The sequence below is a fragment of the Homo sapiens genome, chromosome 1, assembly GCF_000001405.40.
Source record: "Homo sapiens chromosome 1, GRCh38.p14 Primary Assembly".
Taxonomy (NCBI): Eukaryota; Metazoa; Chordata; class Mammalia; order Primates; family Hominidae; genus Homo; species Homo sapiens.
The window spans coordinates 24,723,146-24,739,260 of NC_000001.11; the positions used below are offsets into that span (position 1 = coordinate 24,723,146).

General features: G+C 48.4%; 3 annotated features.

Annotated features, from left to right (window-relative positions):
- Positions 975-1,782: an enhancer, noted in NCBI's record as "NANOG-H3K27ac hESC enhancer chr1:25050611-25051418 (GRCh37/hg19 assembly coordinates)". NCBI's record gives its function as "activates a minimal SCP1, AML or CMV promoter by ChIP-STARR-seq in primed H9 embryonic stem cells {active_cell/tissue: H9 hESC(primed)}" and the evidence as "EXISTENCE:reporter gene assay evidence [ECO:0000049][PMID:30033119]".
- Positions 2,193-2,487: a silencer, noted in NCBI's record as "tiled region #445; K562 Repressive non-DNase unmatched - State 8:EnhW". NCBI's record gives its function as "represses a minimal TATA promoter and a strong SV40 promoter by Sharpr-MPRA in K562 cells {active_cell/tissue: K562}" and the evidence as "EXISTENCE:reporter gene assay evidence [ECO:0000049][PMID:27701403]".
- Positions 7,031-7,621: an enhancer, noted in NCBI's record as "H3K27ac-H3K4me1 hESC enhancer chr1:25056667-25057257 (GRCh37/hg19 assembly coordinates)". NCBI's record gives its function as "activates a minimal SCP1, AML or CMV promoter by ChIP-STARR-seq in primed H9 embryonic stem cells {active_cell/tissue: H9 hESC(primed)}" and the evidence as "EXISTENCE:reporter gene assay evidence [ECO:0000049][PMID:30033119]".

Genomic DNA, 16,115 nt, shown 5'->3' on the forward strand with positions numbered 1-16,115 from the left:
CTCTCAGAATAGTGCCTGACAGACGTTAAGCACTCAATTTTTTATTTTTATTTATTTTTTTTTTTTTTGAGGCAGGGTCTCACTCCCATCACCCAGGCTGGAGTGCAGTGGCATGATCTCGGCTCACTACAGCCTCAACCTCCCAGCACAAGCAATCTGCCTACCTCAGCCCCACAAGTAGCTGAGACTATGGATGTGCGCCACCATGCCCAGCTAATTTTTGTATTTTTTGTAGAGATGGGGTTTCACCATGTTGCCCAGGTTGGTCTCGACCTCTTCAGTTCAAGTGATTCACCTGCCTTGGCCTCCCAAAGTGCTGGGATTAGAGGCGTGAGCCACTGCACAGGGCCAAGTGCTCAATAAATTAAATGTGAGTTTGTGCAAGGTGATTACGTGTGAACACTCGACTCAATTGGCTTAAACATAAAATTTATTTTTAATTAATTTATGATGGAGTTTCACTCTTGTCGCCCAGGCTGGAGTGCACTGGCATGATCTCAGCTCACTGCAACCTCCGCCTCCTGGGTTCAAGCAATTCTCCTGCCTCAGCCTCCCGAGTAGCTGGGATTACAGGTGCGCACCACCATGCCCGGCTAATAATTGATTTCTTTTTTTAAATGGAGTCTTGTTCCAGCCCAGGCTGGAGTGCAGTGGTGCGATCTCGGCTGACTGCAACCTCTGCCTCCTGGGTTCAAGAGATTCTCCTGCTTCAGCCTCCTGAGTAGTTGGGATTACAGGCGCACACCACCACACCCAGCTAATTTTTGTATTTTTTAGTAGAGACGGGGTTTCATCATGTTGGTCAGGCTGGTCTCGAACTCCTGACCTCGTGATCTGCCGCCTCGGCCTCCCAAAGTTCTGGGATTACAGGCGTGAGCCAGTGTGCCCAGCCTATTTATTATTTTTATTATTATTTTTTGAGATGGAGTCTCACTCTGTTGCCCAGGCTGGAGTGCAGTGGTGGATCTTGGCTCACTGCAACCTCCACCTCCTGGGTGTAAGAGATTTTCATGTCTCAGCCTCCCAAATAGTTGGGACTACAGACGTGTGCCACCTCACCCAGCTAATTTTTGTATTTTTGGTAGAGACAGGGTTTTGCCATGTTGGCCAGGCTGATTTCCAACTCCTGACCTCAAGTGATCCGCCCGCCTCGGCCTCTGAAAATGCTGGGATTACAGGCATGAGCCACTGTGCCCCGCGGAAAGAAATCTATTATTTTACCAACAGGAAGTCCCAGGAGATTCTTGGCCTTGGAATGGATTGATTCGCTGGTTCAGTGATGGCACAGGGACCCAGGAACTTTGTCTCCGCTGCTGCCTCCCTTTAGGTTGGCTTCAGCTCAAGGGCAACTACCCTTTTGGTAACAAGACGGTTGCCAGCAACACCTAAGGGACGAGGTATCCTGGTCTTCCTTAGCAAGGAGAAGGCCGGCTCCCTTAGCAAGGAGAAGGCCGGCTCCCTAAGCCAGACATTTAAATCCTTCCCTTCAGTCTGATTGGGTGAGCTGGGTCATGTGGTCACCTCTGTACCAACCACAGCACCAAGACAATGCAAGGAGCTGATTGGCTTACATTCCTCGGGATTCACCCCTGGAGCTGAGACGGGTGGCCACTGAGGGCTGGGGGAAAGGCAGAGGTGGGTTCCGTTGGGACAGCTTGGGTGGGGGCTATGGGAGCAGCTTTAAAGAACTAGTTACCCCTGTTGGCTGGGGGCCTGGGGGGAACCCCTGGGTTACACAAATAATTTCAATACAATGTGGCATCCAGTGTCCAGCAGTGCAGGATCCAGAGGAGGAAGTGGTTTATTTGGACTGAGGGTGGAGGTGTGTTTGTGGGAGATCCCTGGAGCCTTTGCCTCTGAATCCTGAAATATGAGAAGTATTTCTCCAGCCGGAAAAGCCTGAGAAGAGGGTCAGAGGTCCCAGCACAAGCAAAGATCTGTGGGCTTCATGGGGCAGAGTAGCTGGGAGTGGAGGAGTGTGGAGACGGCCCCTTTGAAAGCAGAACTCGCTCCTCCCACCTCCATCTCGGGGCTGATAGCATAATCAGAATAGCTAACATTACTGAGTGCTCACTTCCCCGGGGTTCAATCCTCAGGACAGGTCTATCAACGGAGGGGAGGTATTGCTATTCCCCATTTTACAGATGGGGAAAGTGAGATATAGAGAGGTTAAATAATTTGCCCAAGGTCACACAGCTGAAAGGGCAGAGCTGGGCTATGACTCCAGGCAGTCTGACCCCAAAGCCAATGCTTTCAACATGCCTCTACTGCCCTCCCCAAGCCCCATCCCTGCAGGAGGAGGGCAGCCGGAAGGAGAGAGAGAAGTCCTGTTAGTCCAGTGCCATGAATCACAGCAGCTGGTGGTGGCCTCAGCAGGGAGACCCGCATCTGACAGACAAAGGCGGGAAGCTGGGTTTTGTCTCCAGCAGGCAGGGCAGGGAGATGGCCATTGTATAAGCCTGACCCCCTCCTTAGGCCTGAGAGACAGGGAAACTGATATGTAAAAGATCAAGAGCCAGAAGATCTTGCTTCGTAGGACTTGAGTTGAATCTTGAAAAAGTGAGAAAAAGAAAAATAGGCTGGGGTGAGGTGGCTCATGCCTGTAACTCCAGCACTTTGGGAGGCCGAGGTGGATGGATCACTTGAGCTCAGAAGTTCAAGACCAGCCTGGGCAACATGGCAAAACCTTGTCGTTACAAATAATACAGAAATTAGCCAAGCCTGGTGGCGCACGCCTGTAGTCCCAGCTACTCGGGAGGCTGAGGCATGAGAATCGGTTGAGCCTGGGAGGCGGAGGTTACAGTGAGCTGAGATGGCGCCATTGCACTCTGGCCTGGGTGACAGAGTGAGACTCTGTCTCAAACAACGACGACAACAACAACAACAACAACAACAGCAGACTCCAGCACTTTGGGAGGCTGAGATGGGTGGATCGCCTGAGGTCAGGAGTTCAAGACTAGCGTGGCCAACACAGTGAAACCTCGTCCGTACTAAAAATACAAAAAATTGGCCAGATGCGGTGGCTCACGCCTGTAATCCCAGCACTTTGGGAGGCCAAGGTGGGTGGATCAAGAGGTCAAGAGATCGAGACCATCCTGGTAAACATGGTGAAACCCCGTCTCTACTAAAAATACAAAAATTAGCTGGGCGTGGTGGTGCGTGCCTGTAGTCCCAGCTACTCGGGAGGCTAAGACAGGAGAATTGCTTGAACCTGGGAGGCGGAGGTTGCCGTGAGCTGAGATCACGCCACTGCACTCCAGCCTGGTGACAGAGTCAGACTTCGTCTAAAAAAAAAATAGCTGGGCTATTACAGGTGGCGGGTGCCTGTAATCCCAGCTACTAGGGAGGCTGAGGCAGGAGAATCACTTGAACCCGGGAGGCAGAGGTTGCGGTGAGCCGAGATCGCACCATTGCACTCCAGCCTGGGCAACAAGAGTGAAACTCCGTATCAAAAGAACAAAAAAACAAAACAGACTGTCTCCTGAAATCCGCAGAGTCCCCTCTTGCTATCCTTGGAATCCATCTGTGGCTCCCACCCCTTCCATTCACTGTTCTGGCTCTTTTAAGAGATTCCCCTTTCGGAGAGACCCTGGCTCCACCTGGAAGGAGCCAAGGCTGACTTGCCCCGGTGTGCTGCCAGCCAAGTGGCTGTTTCCACAGAAATGAGCACCTCCAAGCTCAGGGAACAAAACTTCAAAGATGCCCTCTGCCCGTCCTGGTTTGCACTCCCTCCCTCCAAAGTGTCCACATGAATAAGCTCTCCTCTCCCATTCAACCTGCAGGACCCCAGGCCAGGTGAGGCAGGCAGCTGCTCTTCACTCGTTCCTCCCTGCACTTCCGCACCAAGAAGAGAGGCCACACTTTTTTTTTTTTTGAAACAGGTGTGTGCCACCAAGCCCAACTAATTAAAAAAACTTTTTATTTATTTATTTGAAGAGACAGGGTCTGACCATGTTGCCCAAGCTGGTCTTGAATCCCTGGACTCAAGCAATCCTCTCACCTCAGCCTCCCAAAGTGCTGGAATTATAGGCGTGAGCCACCGCACTCAGTGAGGTCACCTTCCTTCCTTCCTTCTTTCCTTCCTCTCTCTCTCTCTCTGTCTCTTTCTTTCTTTCGATGGAGTTTTGCTCTTGTCGCCGAGGCTGGAGTGCAGTGGCGCGATCTGGACCCACTGTAACCTCCGTCCCCCCAGATTCAAGTGATTGTCCTGCCTCAGCCTCCCAAGTAGCTGGGATTATAAGGCATGCACCACCACGCCCAACTAATTTTTATATTTTTAGTAGAGACGGGGTTTTGCCAAGTTGGCCTTGAACTCCTGACCTCAGGCGATCCACCTGTGTTAGCCCCTCAAAGTGCTGGGAATACAGGTGTGAGCCATGACACCCTATACGTGTAGCTTTTTAGAAAGCATAACAGCACTCTCCCCTCCACTTTCAAAAGTGGGCCCCAGCGGCTCAGACTCCCTTGCCAGTTTCACTTTGGAAAGATGCAGTATGTGAGCAGTGCTGTCTTATTTCCCAGCTGGCCGGCCCAGGAGGCCCAGCCCCAAGGACCAGACACTGTGGGTTGGCCTCGGGGACGATGATCTAAGACAGCTGGAGTGTCTTCCTGGCTGTTAGCAAAAGAGAAACCAACTAATTCACCACAAAGTCCTTAAAAAGAGAAGTAATAGGATGAGTTCTGGCACCTCACTTAAGTCCAACAGGAGTGGGGAAATTCCCCTAAATATCACTTGGGGATCCAGCTTTTCCCTCTCTTTGAACCTCTTTGATGTTTATTTAATGTAATTAATTAACTTATTTAAATTTTTGAGACAGGGTCTCACTCTGTTGCCCAGACTGGAATGCAGTGGCACAATCACGGTTCACTGCAGCCTCGACCTCCTGGACTATAGCAATCCTCCCACCTCAGCCTCCCGAGTAGCTGGCACTACAGGTATAAGCCACCATGCCCGGCTAATTTTTTGTACTTTTAGTAGAGCCAGAGTTTCACCATGTTGCCAGGCTGGTCTCCAACTCCTGGGCTCAGGTGATCCTCTTGCCTGGCCCCCATTTATTTTAATTTGAAGTAATTTCAAACTAACAGGAAACTTGCAAAAATAATGTAAAGAACTCTTAAATACCGTTTACCCAGATTCATCAATTGTTTTGCATTTTGCCACATTTATTTTCTCTTTCTACAGAGTAGATATGAATCCATATCTACATCTATATAGAGAGAAAATAAATGTGGATACATATCTATATGTATATATGGAGATAAACTGATAGACATAGATGTGGATATACACATACATATAATTTTTTTTTTTTTAAGATACAGAGTCTCGCTCTGTCGCCCAGGCTGGAGTGTGGAGTGCAGTGGCCTGATCTCGGCTCACTGCAACCTCTGCCTCCTGGGTTCAAGCAATTCTCCTGTCTCAGCATCCCGAGTAGCTGGGAATACAGGTACATGCTGCCACGCCCGGCTAATTTTTTGTGTTTTAGTAGAGACAGGGTTTCACCGTGTTGCCAGGGCTGGTCTTAAACTCCTGAACTCAGGTAATCCGCCCACCTCAGCCTCCTAACATGCTAGGATTACAGGCGTGAGCCACCGCACCCAACCCTTTTTATTTTTATTTATTTATTTATTTTGTTTTTTTGAGATGGAGTTTCGCTCTTGTTGCCCAGGCTGGAATGCAATGGCGTGATCTTGGCTCACCGCAATCTCCACCTCCCCGGTTCAAGCGATTCTCCTGCCTCAGCCTCCTGAGTAGCTGGGATTGCAGGCATGCGCCACCACACCCAGCTAATTTTGTATTTTTAGTAGAGATGGGGTTTCTCCATATTGGTCAGGCTGGTCTTGAACGCCCTACGTCAGGTGATCTGCCCGCCTCGGCCTCCCAGAGTGTTGGGATTACAGGCGTGAGCCACCGTGCCTGGCAAGTTATCTTTCTTACAGAATGTTCTTCAACTCAGGTGAATCTGACGTCTCCTCATGAACACATTCAGCTTTGCATTCTCAGCTGGAACATTACGAAAGTGATATAGTGTGCTTTGCAGGGCGTGACTTCGGGAAGCACCTGAGGTCTGTTTGCCTGGAAAGGGTGCTGTTAATTTTGATCACCTGGCTAAGGGGTGGTCTAGTTCTGCATAAGTTACAATTTTCCTTCATGCAAGCTATGAGCAATCTGTGTGGACACTTTTAGGTCCTGTAAATGTACTGTTCCTGCTGATTCTTGTAGTGCTTATTTCTTATCAGCAGGAATTGATGCTTTGGTCCCCCTCTTACATTCTTCATCCTTGCCATCCTCCCGTGCTGTGGGGACTGGGACGGAGCCTCCCTTAGCCTGATCTATCAGCACTGTGCTATGAGAAGCCATTGATGCTAACAAGAGATGGGTTCGTGGGGCTTGGACATACTCAGCCCTCTCAGGAGCCTTACTGAGTGAATCCAGGGACACTGGTCCCTATACTGTGGGGCGGATCCACCAGTTAAAGGATAAGGGCAGGCTCAGGGGAAGAAAAGACTCCTTCCCTTGGCCAGGCGCAGTGGCTCACACCTGTAATCCCAACGCTTTGGGAGGCTGAGGTGCGTGGATTACTTGAAGTCAGGAGTTCGAGACCAGCCTGGCCAACATGGTGAAACCCCGTCTCTACTAAAAATACAAAAATTAGCCTGGCGTGGTGGCAGGCACCTGTAATCCCAGTTACTCAGGAGGCTGAGGCAGGAGAATCACTTGAACCCAGGAGGTGGAGGTTGCAGTGAGCCAAGATCACACCACTGCACTCCAGCCTGGCGACAGAACGAGACTCCATCTCAAACAAACAAAAATACTCCTTCCCTTGGCCAGGCATGGTGGCTCACGACTGTAATCCCAGCACTCTGGGAGACCAAAGTGGGCGGATCACCTGAGGTCAGGAGTTTGAGGCCAGCCTGGCCAACACAGTGAAACCCTGTCTCTACTAAAAATACAAAAATTAGCAGGGCATGGTGGCGGGTGCCTGTAATCCCAGTTACTTGGGAGGCTGAGGCAGGAGAATCACTTGAACTGAGGAGGCTGAAGCAGGAGATTGGCTTGAACCTGGTGGCAGGGGGGTGGACGTTGCAGTGAGCTGAGATAGCGCCATTGCACTCCAGCCTGGGCGACAAGAGCCAAACTCCATGGTGGGGGGAGGTGGGGAAGCGGAGGAGGGGAGGGGGAGGGGGGAGGGGGGAGGGGGAGGGGGAGGGGAGGGGGAGGGGAGGGGGAGGGGACTCCTTCTCAAGCCTCACCTAAAAATGAAGAGGCAAACAAGGTGGGAAAAAAATAAGTGTCGAGCTCAACCCTTAGGACCCTGGCCATGTCTGCAGTCAGCTCAGGCAAGGCTGTTGTCCTTCTGTAATGGACTGTCCCTGGTGCGCTCTCAGACGCAGCAGGACACGATGCGGCAGGACCCAGTGTTCCACGCAAGGACCTGCAGTCCTGGTTCAAATCCAGACACTGCCATAGGAAGCTTAGCTCTACGTGAGGAGATTAGCGACTGTTCCATGCGGGAAACAAACCAACCAAGCCAAAGCCTGCAAGTCTCTCCCAAGCTGCCAGCAAGTGAGCCAGGTGGACCTCCAGGGCGTAGGATGCAGCTGGGAAAACAACCGACCCGCTGCTTTTCCGGGTCCCTGCGCTTGCTGCGTCTCCTCTGGCTGCAGAGACTCAGCCCGGCTCAGAGCTGGGGAACTCGGTTATTCTTTTGAAGCGTCAAGGGCACTTGTCAGCTTTGAAATAATACATTTGCTGGCTTGAATTTCAAATAGCTTAACGCCCCCTGTGCTACCTAGCTGTGATCTGAAGGACTGACTGTTCAGGCCTTCAAGTACCAAATAAATGAACCATGAGACTCCAGCAATGGAGAAGAAATGTCCTTATTCAAACCAAACTTTGCAAATGGAAAGAATTGTTAAGTTTTGCTCTGTTGTGGCAGGGAAGCAGCTGGGAAGTAGACCACCCCTTGCATGCTCTGGGGGCCAGAGCTGGCTGTACTTGCACCTTTAGGCAGTAGGAAATGCACCCCAGCTCTGTGGTGTGAGCCACTTCTCCGTGATGAAGGTCATCTTCATATTCTGAGGTCAAAGGGCAAATGGCAGAGTGGGCATCCGTGGGGAGACTGCTGGACACAGGGCACTGCCCACAGAGAGGTGATGGGTGATAGGAGTGGGGCAGGACAGCATAGCAAGGTGCAGCATCTGGAGTCAGAACAGACAGGTTCAAATCCCAGCTCTGCTGCTTACCTACTAAGCTGTTTGATTTGGGCAAGTGATTTAATCCTGCTAAGCCTCAATTTTCTTCTCTGCAAAATGGGAGTAATATTCAACCCAGGTTATAGGTATTAAGTGAGATTGTATATGAAATACACTCAGTCAGGCACATATTAAGTGCTCATTTAGTAACAGCGTTGGCTAGGCCAGGTGCAGTGGTCACGCCTGTAATCCCAGCACTTTGGGAGGCTGAGGCTGGCAGATCACCTGAGGTCAGGAGTTCAAGGCCAGCCTGGCCAACATGGTGAAACCCAGTCTCTACTAAAAATACAAAAATTAGGCCAGGTGCGGTGGCTCATGCCTGTAATCCCAGCATTCTGGGAGGCCGAGGCGAGTGGATCACCTGAGGTCAGGAGTTCGAGACCAGCCTGACCAATATGGTGAAACCCCGTCTCTACCAAAATTACAAAAATTAGCCGAGTGTGGCGGTATGCGCCTGTAGTCCCAGCTACTTGGGAGGCTGAGGCAGGAGAATTGCTTGAACCCGGGAAAAGGTGGAGGTTGCAGTGAGCTGAGATTGTGCCACTGCACTCCAGCCTGGGTGACAGAGTGAGACTCTGTCTCAAAAAAAAAAAAAAAAAAGCAAAAATTATCTGGGCATGGTGGTGGGCACCTGTATTCCCAGCTACTCTGGAGGCTGACGCAGGAGAATTACCTGAACCCAGGAGGTGAAGGTTGCAGTGAGCCAAGATCGCACCACTGCACTCTAGCCTGGGCAACAGAATGAGACTCTGTCTCAAAAATAAATAAATGAATAAGGTAATAGTGTAGGCTATACTGGTAATTATGAGTAATACTAAATAGGCTACACTTAGTGTAGGATAATAATATAATAATGGTGGTGGTAATGATGATGATGATTTCTGACCCTCTAGGCTGCTATGTTAGGCTTAGCTAGGAAACTGAAGCTGGGCTGGGGTTGGGGTTGGGACAGAGGCTAGTGGAGCAGTGGGCAGCAATGAACTGAGGCCACGAAGCACAGAATGTCATCATCCTGGTGACGAACTCCATCAGTGCCTATTCTGTCAGCAGCTCCATTCCAGCAACCTTCAACATAATTGTGTATGTGTGTGTCTAGGTAGGTGCAAACATAATTTTTGATGACTATGTATCATTCTATTATATAGATGAACTATGTTTTACTTTAAGCAAACTATAATTTTTAACAGCTGCAGAATATTTTAATGACTGGATGGACTTTTTTTTTTTTTTGAGACAGGGTCACTCACTGTGTTGCCCAATCTGGCATGCAGTGGCATGATCACAACACACTGCAGCCTCGACCTCCCACACTCAAGTGATCCTCCCATCTCAGTTTCCCAAGCAGCTGGGACTACAGGTGCACAGCACCACGTCTAGCTGATTTTTGTATTTTTTGTAAAGGAAGGGTTTCACCAAGTCACCCAGGCTGGCATATTTTGACAGGAAAGCAAAGTGTTGTATTAGATTTGGAACAGGCTGTGAAGCTAGAGATCTTTAATTATTTAGTCAACATTTTTGACCACCAACTTTAAGCCGGGCTCTGTGTTACATGCTGGCCATACGAAGGTGAATATAGAGATAAGCCTGGCTTCACAGAGCTTATGGTCTAGAAGGAGAGACAGGCATATAACTAGACCTGAGTTTAACCCAAGCTATGTGATCTTAAACAAGTCACTTATCGGTCAGGGTGGTGGCTCACACCTGTAATCCCAGCACTTTGGGAGGCCGAGGCCGGCGGATCACTTGAGGTCAGAAGTTCAAGACCAGCTTGGCCTACATAGTGAAAACCTGTCTCTACTAAAAATACAAAAAAATTATCCGGGCATGGTGGTGGGCGCCTGTAATCTCAGCTACTCAGGAGGCTGAGGCAGGAGAATCACTTGAACCCAGGAGGCAGAGGTTACGGTGAGCCGAGATGGCACCACTGCACTCCAGCCTGGGCAACAAAAGCGAGACTCTGTCTCAAAAAAAAAAAAAAGAAAAAAGAAAGTCACTTATCTTCCCCAAGCCATAGTTTCCTCATATGTAGAAGCTCAGCATAGAGTGTTACAAGCACAGTATAATGTAAACCCAGCAAACATTACTTCTCCTTTTTTTTTTTTACTCTTGAGACGGAGTTTCACTCTTATTGCTCAGGCTGGAGTGCAATGGTGTGATCTTGGCTCACCGCAACCTCCCCCTCTTGGGTTCAAGCGATTCTCTTGCCTCAGCCTCCTGAGTAGCTGGGATTACAGGTATGTGCCACCACGCCCGGCTAATTTTGTATTTTTAGTAGAGATGGGTTTCACCATGTTGGCCAGGCTGGTCTCGAACACCTGACCTCAGGTGATCTGCCCACCTTGGCCTCTCAAAGTGCTGGGATTACAGGCGTGAGCCACTGTGCCCAGCCTTCTTCTTTAAAAAAAAAAAAATTTTGAGACAGAGTCTTGCTATGTTGCCTAGGCTGGTCTTGAACTCCTAGACTCAAGTGGTCCTCCCACCTTGGCCTCCTCTGTAGCTGGGACTACAGGTGTGAGCCACCACACCCAGCCTGGTTCTACCTTCTAATGATTGGTAGTTTTAAATATTGCTTTTCTTTCTTTTTTTTTTTTTTTTTTTTGAGATAGAGTCTCGCTCTGTCACCCAGGCTGGAGTGCAGTGATGCGATCTCGGCTCACTGCAACCTCCGCCTCCTGGGATCAAGCAATTGTCCTGCTTCAGTCTCCCGCGTAGCTGGGACTACAGGTGCGTGCCACCACACGTGGCTAATTTTTGCATTTTTAATAGAGACGAGGTTTCACCATGTTGGCCAGGCTGGTCTTGAACTCCTGACCTCAGGTGATCCATCCACCTCGGCCTCCCAAAGTAGTGGGATTACAGGCATGAGCCACTGTGTCTGGCCTGCTTTTCTTATTCTTTTGTTTTTATAGATATTATAGCCATGGATATCCTCCTAAATGCTATCTTTTTCTTTGGGGGATTGGGTTATTTATTCATCACGGGGTGATCTGGGTTATCCAGTTAAATAAGTTTTTCGTTTGGTTGTTTTATTTTGTTTATTTGTTTGTTTTTTTTTTTGAGACAGAGTCTTGCTCTGTTGCCCAGGCTGGAGTGCAGTGGCATGATCTCGCCTCACTGCAACCTCCACCTCCCAGATTCAAGTGATTCTCCTGCCTCAGCCTCCCAAGTATCTGGGATTACAGGTGCACGCCACCACACCTGGCTAATTTTTGTATTTTTAGTAGAGATGGGGTTTCGTCATGTTGGCTTGGCTGGTCTCAAACTCCTGGCCTCAAGTGATCCACCTGCCTTGGCCTCCCAAAGTGCTGGGATTCCAGGTATAAGCCACTATGCCAGCCTGTTTTTTGAGAGAGGTTCTCTGTCACTCAGGCTGGAGTGCAGTGACACAGCCACGGCTCACTGCAGTCTTGACTTTCTAGGCTCGAGTGATCCTCCCACCACAGTCTCCCAATTATCTGGCACTACAGGTGTGCACCACCATACCCAGCTAATTTTTATTTTATTTTATTTTATTTATTTTTATTTTTTTTGAGGCAGGGTCTCACTCTGTCACCCAGGCAGGAGTGCAGTGGCATGATCACAGCTCACTGCAGCCTCAACCTCCTGAACTCAAGTGATTCTCCCACCTCAGCCTGCTGAGTAGCTAGGACTACAGGCATGCACCACCACACCTAATTTTTGTATTTTTTGTAGAGATGGGGTTTTGCCATGTTACCCGGACTGGTCTCAAACTCCTGGGCTCAAGTGATCCACCTGCCTTGGCCTCCCAAAGTGTTGGGATTGCAGGCGTGAGCCACTACATCCAGCCCTAATATTTTATTAGTATTTGTAGAGACGGATCGTTATGTTGCTGGGACTGGTCTCGATGTCCTGGACTCAAGCAATCCTCCTGCCTCAAACCCCCTAAATGCTGGGATTACAGGCTTAAGCCACCACATCTGGCCTCCAGCTGCATAAGTTTTTTTAACCCTCTGCTATTCTTCAGGGTTCACTAGGCAGAGTGGTGGACAAAAGCCACTGTATTGGTGGCAGGAGGTCTGAGCAAACAAGTCACCCAAACTCTCTGGACCTTGATCTCTCATCTGCATCTTTACCGTTCCCCCAACATACCAAGGAAATTCCTGCCTCAATGCCTTCGGCCTTGCTGTTCCCTTTGCCAGCAAAGAGAACTGTGCGTCCAGATATTATCCCCACGGCCTTCTGGTCTTTACTCAAATGTCATCTTATCAGAGAGACTGTTCCTCCTCCCTGTCCCCGTGTCCTTCCCCAGCCCCTCATTCTGCTTTACTCCTCTTTATAGCTCTTATAATCTCCTGATTAGACATACTTGCCCGGGTATTTGTTTATTGTCTGCCTTCCCAAATAGAATGTAATCTTCATGAGAGCCAAGATGCTGTCTGTCCTGGGCCTGGAAGCGTGCCCAGCACACACAGTAGGTTCTCGCTGAAAATGTGCAGCCTGAGTGGACGAAGAGATCAAATGAGACTCTGCTGACAATACTTAGCATATTTGTTAGTGTCTGCAGACAGCACAAAGCTGTCCTAATGAGAGGGAGAGTAATAGTAATTGGAAACTCTAGACAGTGTCTTATGTGGGTGGTAGAGCTCTGGAAGATCTTGGCCAGGGTGGATGTGGGTGGGGGTTGGGGTGGGGGAGGAAGTATTTCCTCTCTGCCAAGCTGCAGCAAGAGGCTAATGGCCTCCACAGGGATCCAATCCAATTAAGGGCCTGGCTTCAAGTCAACTCGGGTTCCCTTCCTGGCTGGAGCAGCTTCCAAGTGACAAAATGAAACCTGTAATGTCCCCAGGATGAGATAGTCTCCAGGCGAGCAGGGCAGAAAGGGGCTGATAGTCAGGTTTCTGCTCCCAGGGGAACAGATCTGCATTGGGCCCGAATAGTTTTAATACAGAGAGAGAGAGAAAGAGAGAGAGAGTGTGTGTGTGTGTGTGCACGCGCGCGTGTGCATGTGTGCGCACGTGTGGTGGGAAGAGCCAGGAACAGCAGCTGGATTCAGTCCCTCATGGGGAAGCAACGGAAAGGGTTCAAATGCCAAATGAGGAGTCCTGGGTTCTAATCTTAGTTCTGTTTCCACCCAACTATGGGACAGGGAAGAAAACCAAGTGAGCCAGGGAACACAAGCCCTGCCTGAGGCTCCAGTTCCCTACACACAGAACTGGAAACTGAACATGCATTCAGGCTTAATTGCACTCAGAAGTCTATTTCAACTGTATTTATTTATTTATTTATTTATGAGAGGGAGTTTCACTCTGTTGTCCAGGCTGGAGTGCACTGGTGTAATCTTGGCTCACTGCAACCTCCGCCTCCCTGGGTTCAAGCAATTCTCCTGCCTCAGCCTCCCGAGTAGCTGGGATTACATGTGCCCACAAGCACGCCCACCTAATTTTTGTATTTTTAGTAGAGATGGGGTTTCACCATATTGGCCAGGTTGGTCTCAAACTCTTGACCTCAAGTGATCCGCCTGCCTCGGCCCCCCCAAAGTGTTAGGATTACAGGCGTCAGCCACCATGCCTGGCCCTGTTTTCCCCTTTTTTTTTTTTTTTTTGGACAGAGTTTCGCTCTTGTTGCCCAGGCCGGAGTACAATGGTGCAATCTCAGCTTACTGCAACCTCCGCCTCCCGGGTTCAAGTGACCCTCCTGCTTCAGCCTCACTAGTAGCTGGGATTACAGGCGCCCGCCACCACACTTAGCTGACTTTTTGTATTTTTAGTAGAGATGGGGTCTCACTACGTTGGCCAGGCTGGTTTCGAACTCCTGACCTCAGGCGATCCACCTGCCTCAGCCTCCCAAAGTGCTGGAATTACAGGCCCGGCTCCTGTTTTCCCTTGTTTAAACCAATTTGTTGATAGATAACACATACCCCTAGGACAAAAGTTACAAAATGGGAACCAAAACAGTATATAAGTCAGCAGTGACTCAGTTCCCCAGTTCTCCTCCCTGGAAGTAAACACTTAAAAATTTTTTGTGTATTCTTCCAGAAATAAATGCATATAATAGTAAAATAATAACATTTATTGAACATCTACTCTATGCCAAGCACTGTTATGTGCTTTACATTTATTAACTCATTTACTTTCCATAACAACACCATGAAGTATAATTAGCATCACTTTACATGTGGAAATGAAGTGTAGAGAGCATAACTTGCTCAAACATCACACAGAAAGGAAGTGAAATATTTTACTCAAGTAAAGACGTATATGGCAGGGTTCCTTGCCTCCAAGAATCTCACAGTATACCAAGGAAGAGGACATTGATATGACTAGTGATACAGGTTGAGTATCCCTTATCTATCTTTTTTTCTTAAATTTTTTTTTTTAATTTAACAAAGACTGGGGTCTCGCTGTGTTCCCCAGGCTGGTCTCAAACTCCTGGGCTCGAGCAATCATCCTGCCTTGGCGTCCCAAAGTGCTAGGATTATAAGGGCGAGCCACCCTGCCTGGCCCTATTTTTATTTATTTATTTTTTTTGAGACAGGGTGTCACTCAATCACCCAGAACTGGAGTGCAGTGGTGTGATCACGGCTCACTGCAGCCTTGACCTCCTGGGCTCAAGTGATCCTCCCACCTCAGTCTCCTGAATAGCTGGAACCATAGGTGTGCACCACCATGCCTGGCTAATTTTGGGGGTTTTTTAGAGAGATGAGGTCCCACTATGTTGCCCAGTTGTTGCCCACTATGTTGGTCTCAAACTCAAGACCAAGCCAGGGCAAAATAGTAGGACCTCATCTCCACAAAAAAAGGCTCAAGTGATCCTTCTGCCACAGCCTTCCAAAGTGCTGGGATTATAGGTGTGAGTCACCATAACCAGGCAAGTATCCTTTATTTAAATGCTTGGGACCTCCATAAATATATATATATATATACCCACTGTGTCCCCACAAAAATTAAAACTTAAAAATTAAAAAAATAAATGCTTGGGACCAAAAGTGTTTCAGATATCAAATTTTGGATTATTTTGAATTTTGGAGTATTTGAGTATACATAATGAGATATCTTAGGGATGGGACCCAAGTCTAAACACGAAATTTATTAATGTTTCATATATACCTTATTCACATAGCCTGAAGGTAATTTTATACATTTCAAATAATTTTGTACATGAAACAAAGTTTGTATTCAGTACCTTTTTTTTTTTTTTGAGACGGAGTCTCACTCTGTTGCCCAGGCTGGAGTGCAGTGGCGCCATCTCGGCTCACTGCAAGCTTCGCCTCCCAGGTTCACGCCGTTCTCCTGCCTCAGCCTCCTGAGTAGCTGGGACTACAGGCACCCGCCACCACACCCGGCTACTTTTTTGTATTTTAGTAGAGACAGGGTTCCACCGTGTTAGCCAGGATGGTCTCGATCTCCTGACCTCGTGATCCGCCCGCCTTGGCCTCCCAAAGTGCTTGTATTCAGCACTTTTTTGTGGAATTTTCCACTTGTAGTGTCATGTTGGCACTCAAAAAGTTTCAGATTGTGAAGCATTTTGGATTTGGGGTTTTTGGAGTAGGGATGCTCAGCCTGTAATAGCTAGCACTTATTAAATGCTGATTATTAAATGTTTTAAATGGATTACCTCATATAATCCTCACAATGAGTTCCTGAAGTAGGTTCTGTTATACAGTAGTATCCTCTATATTCACAGTTTTGATTTCTGCAGTTTCAGTTACCCACAATCCAAAGATATTAAATGGAAAATTCTAGAAATAAACCATTTATTAGCTTTTTAAAAATTAATTAATTAATTAATTTTTATTTATTTATTTATTTTGAGACAGAGTCTTGCTCTGTCACCCACATTGGAGTGCAGTGGCACAATCTCAGCTCGCTGCAACCTCCACCTCCCAGGTTCAAGCAATT